The 4,907-nt window shown below is 44.3% G+C and overlaps 1 long non-coding RNA gene across 1 annotated transcript; it reads right to left on the reverse strand.

Moving 5' to 3' along the window:
- Nucleotides 1-1,842: 1,842 nt before the first annotated feature.
- Nucleotides 1,843-3,804, reverse strand: LOC124903357 (uncharacterized). Its single transcript, XR_007064299.1, has 2 exons — nt 3,344-3,804; nt 1,843-3,242 (listed from the first exon to the last, which is right to left on the reverse strand). It is a non-coding gene; the product is annotated as an uncharacterized LOC124903357 (long non-coding RNA).
- Nucleotides 3,805-4,907: the final 1,103 nt, after the last annotated feature.

Genomic DNA, 4,907 nt, shown 5'->3' on the forward strand with positions numbered 1-4,907 from the left:
CAGAAGGGCTTAGAGGAGCTCACATGAATGATGGAGCCAGAATGAGTTATTACAGGGCAAGTCAAAGAGGCTCACATCCCTAACCTTTAGAAATTGACTTCACCGAAGGCAGCTACTGTGTTCTTCCCATAAAGCATCTCTTGCTACTACTGTCAGAGACAGAACAAAGGGACAGACCAAACTCTATTCTGTGCTCGTTTAGTGGGTCTCATATTTCAAAGGTTTTGGTCTCTGCCTCCCTCAAGAAATAGGATCCAAGTGCCTCAGAACTTATAATCAGGAAACTGAATCCCTTGCAGGGTAAAAGCAATGGTAGGGGAGAAAGAGATTTGCTCCTGAGGTGAGTCAAATAAGCACAGAAATTCCCTACTTGGGCCCTTTCTTATAGCTCCAGAGGTAGTGCCTATAGTTCGAATGAGAACAAAGAAGGAGGTGGTCACAGCACAAAGCCACACATCACACTGCCTAGCCATCACCATGGCAACAGCAATGTCCCTGGGAAGCCGGGAAGAGGAAGCTGCTCCTGCCACCATTTTCTGCCTAACAATCTGAGTGGCAGCCTCTAGGTGATGGGGAAAACTGGGGACAGAGCTGGCCAAGTGTCCAGGCTCACTTCTGTCCAGAGGCACCCTTGTGTCCCTAAGTGCCACCTGACCTCCTCTGTTCCTTCTCCAAACCCTCTTGAACACTATTCCCTCAATAGCGGTCTCCTTTCTTCTCCCTCCCAGCAGCCAGTTAGTGACCTACTTTTCAAACTTAACATTTCCCAGAATATCTGAACTAAATGAAGCCTCAGGTGTCATCTATTTCTACTGCTCCCCCATGTCCTCCCCCATTTTTCAGAGGAGGACAGGAAAGCCAGGCACATCATGTGATTTGTCCTGTGTCTTTTCTAAGGAGCGCCATGACCAGAACACATTACTGTGACCCAGACGATCTGTAACCTACAGCACCTCATTTTCACTCCCCTAATAAAGACCCATGTGCCAGGTTGATCTTCCCTCCTTCTCCCACCAGGTCTCCTCAATGGCCAAAGTGGAGGAGCCGCAGCCAGAGACCTGCCCCCACCCCGCCAACATGTTCCCTGTGTTCCTCTCCACAAGTTTGCCATGGCAGTGGTTTTAGAAAAGAAGTCAGCTGAGGAGAGCCAGCTTGGATGACAGCACTGACTTACATTTCACAGTCTCTAAAAGAACTCCCTAAAAAGAAGGGCAGTGGTGGATATTTACATTGTAATGTATTAGAATCAGCTTTAAATGATTTCAAAATGTTAAAACTCTCCCTATATTCTCAGCCTTTTGAGAGAACAACTATTTCCATTTTTTCCATCCTTTTTTCATTATTCATAGAAGCCTCCATGAGCAAAGTGACGTAGCAGCCATGTGCCCAACTGATCTCGGTCACATGACGAGGTCTTCTCTGCAGAGGGACTCTAGGAATCCGTGCAACACAGACAGATGGGCCACACAGACCGCTTTCAAAATAAGGGTCCCTTCCTCACTTACCTTCTATGATGACGAACATCTGCCTGAGCCTGAGGCTGAGCCTGAGAGTGGCCGAGGTGCCTGGGACCAGTAGTTCGCAGCCTTGACTACACGTTCGAGTCACCTGGGCATTAGTATTTTTTAAAACTCCCTGGGTGCTTCCCATGTGTGCTAAGGTTGAGCCCACCGCTCTAGGGGTTAGAAATGGTTCCACCAATTTTCAGTTAGCAGGTGATAGGGAGGGGCCTGGGGGCCAACTCTTACTTCTTGGAAATCCCTTCTGCTCCCTACAACCCTTGCAGTGACTCGACCTACAGTGAGAATAATGCTTATGAATACAAACTGCTCAGTGGGAAGATTGCAATGTGACAGAAGTTTTTATTTGCTTTTTTGTATATTTTATTTCTTATAAAATAAAATACATGTATTAATATTATATAAAATACAACAAATTATAGAAATAAATATTTGGATTTTATTTTAAATTTTGTTTTTATTTTACCTTCTCTTTACAGGTACACCTACAAATAAGTCCCTATTTGTAAACTAATGAGGAAGTGAAACATGCTCTTAAGTTAGGGCTGAGCCAAAGGACTTGACAACACAACACTATGACACTAAAACCTCTTGAGGCCAGGGGTCTGAAGTACTGGGACAGGGTCCAGGAAATTCCATAAGGCAGAGAGACTGTAACGTCTGGCCTGGGGCATTGGTACCTTTCTCCTGCACTAGCCTTGAGGCTCCACCCTCTGCACCCTGGGGTCTGGCAGATTAAATCCTTAGACACCTTGATTCAGAGGATGAGTCTAGGCAGAAAGATCCAAGCTCATCATCCACATGGGAGAGGCTATCTCGTGGTGAAAGGAAAGTCATTTCTGAAATCCGACATCCCTCCAATTGTATATAACCTATTTTCTCCCTACCCTATAATTTACTTTTTAAAATTTTTATTTGTTGTTGAAGTGAAATTCACATAGCATAAAATGAATGATTTTAACGTGAACAATCTAGTGGCCTTCAGTACATTCACAATGTTGTGTGACCACCACCTCTATCAAGTTCCAAATACTTCTATCACCCAAGAGAAAACTATCCCAGTAAGCAGTTACTCCCCATTTCTTTCTCCCCCAACCTGTGGCAACCACCGACACACTTTCTGTCTCTATGAACTTATCTATTCTGGACATTTCATATAATTGGAATCATGTACCATGTGACCTATGCTTCTTTCATTTAGCATAATGTTTTTGAGGTCCATCCAGGTTGTAGCATGCATCAGTACTTCATTGCTTTCAATACCTGAATAATATTCAATTGCAAGGAAGTACCACAATTTGCTTATCCATTTGTCCACTGAGGGATGTTTGGGTTGTTTCCACCTTTTGGCTATTGGGAATAGTGCTGCTATGAACATGCATGTATATATGTTTGTTTAAGTATCAGTTTTCAATTCTTTTGTGTATATACCTAGGAGTGGAATTGCTAGGTTATATGGTAGTTTTATATTTACTTTTTGAAGAACAACTATACTCTTTCCCCAATCTACTTTTATGGAAGAAAATAACAGAAGCATAAAGAGGTTTTTCCATTCATGCGGAGCTGAGATTAGGAGTCTTGACTTCTTGTCTCCTCTTCTTCCTGCCCCCTACAAGCCCTGCTATTGAAAATGTTAACATCATGCTTGGTCCTGAAGTTTGTGTTGTTGGCTGAGGTTCCTGCATGTCCTCTGAATTATGATGCTCTCCACAGAACTGTTGCCTGAGAAGAGACAAGATTAGGTGAACTTCTACTGACTGGCAGTCCATAGGAAGTTTCCTCTCGTTTCCAAATCCCACATATCTGCACATTTTATTACTCACGTCTTTCTCCCAAAAGAGGAAGGTGGAGGAAAATGCTTGTAGCTGAAAGTTCTGGCACAATGTATGTTTGGCTGCTAGAGTCACAAAGATGAATCATGGTATACACACTTTGTCTGGAGGGAGACATAGACCTATTCATTCAACATTCAAGGAATAAGTATTGAGTATGCATTAGCTCATTTAATGCTCATACAAACCCTAGGAGGCTCAGTAATCGTATTATTCCCACTTAACAGATGAGAAAACGAGGCAAAGAGACTTATTAATTTGCCCAAGATCACATGGATGGTAAGTGGAGATGCTGGGATTGGAGCCCGGGCAGCCTTTTGATAGCTCATGTCCCTGGGTCAATGCTCTATGCTCCTTGGGATGAGGGCATCTAACTCAACACCACTCATTGCACAGTGAAAGGATCCTGTGACCACCATCAACCTACCTAGTTTCCCCCTCCCAACTGTCTGCCTTCTGCATTTGTCTAATACTAGCAAAACCCCAGCAAGGCAGCAAATGCTTATCCTGATGCACAACCAGCTCCCTGCTGGCCAGCCCTGAGGGATCCCATGCAGGCGACTGGAGACAGATGAGGCAGAACTGGGCCACCTGCAAGGATGTGTTCAGAGCCAGTCAGACTCTCCCCTCCCTCCTCTGCACAGTGGCCTTTCTTTCCAAGGCACCTGCTCCCTGCATCCTTGTCCTTTTCCTTCGGATGAGCCCCTTAGCCATCACTAGGCTGAGCATCCTTTACAATCCAAGAAAATCTTCTGGTGAAATGCTGTTCTGGATTCCCTACTTTAGCACCTCCAAGATTGGGGGTTCCTCAGGAGTAAGGACCAAATCCCATTTACCTTTACATTTCCTAGAGCAAATATTTATTGAACCAAATTACATTTCTGGCCAGGTGCAGTGGCTCATGCTTGTAATCCCAACATTCTGGGAGGTCAAGGCAGGAGGATTGCTTGAGCCCACGAGTTTGAGACCAGCCTGGGCAACAAGGTGAGACCCCCATCTCTACAAAAAATTAAAAAGCTAACTGGGCCTCGTGGTGCACACCTGTGGTCCCAGATCCTTGGAAGGCTGAGGCAGGAGGATCACTTGAGCACAGGAGGTCACACCACTGCACTCCAGTCTGGGCAGCAGAAAAAAAAAAAATTCTGATAATCTTTAAGAAGTGAAGCATTTAGAAAGAGGAAAATGAAATAGAGAAAGGCAAGATAAATAAGGAAGCACAAGAAAGTCAAATTTAAGATTGGAAAGGGATATTAGAGATGGCTGAGGAAGGCACCGCAGCTATGTTGCTCACGACTGGAGGATTTCCGCTCTTATTCCTGTGACAGACATTAATAGTCAATCATAGATGTCTTTCCAACTTTCCATCTTCCGTTTTGGACTAAGCTTTCAAAATATTCTCAACACAGTGCACCACTACAGCAGAGCTGATGCTTGAGCTGAAACCTAATGCCATCCCTAATTTCTTATTTCAAAGATGAGGAAACTGGAGCCCAGAGATTTGCTTCAGATGGTTAATTACAGGCTGGTTCCAGTATCTGGGTCCTTTAATGACTGA

Source organism: Homo sapiens, chromosome 14 (genome assembly GCF_000001405.40).
Source record: "Homo sapiens chromosome 14, GRCh38.p14 Primary Assembly".
NCBI classification, from domain to species: Eukaryota; Metazoa; Chordata; class Mammalia; order Primates; family Hominidae; genus Homo; species Homo sapiens.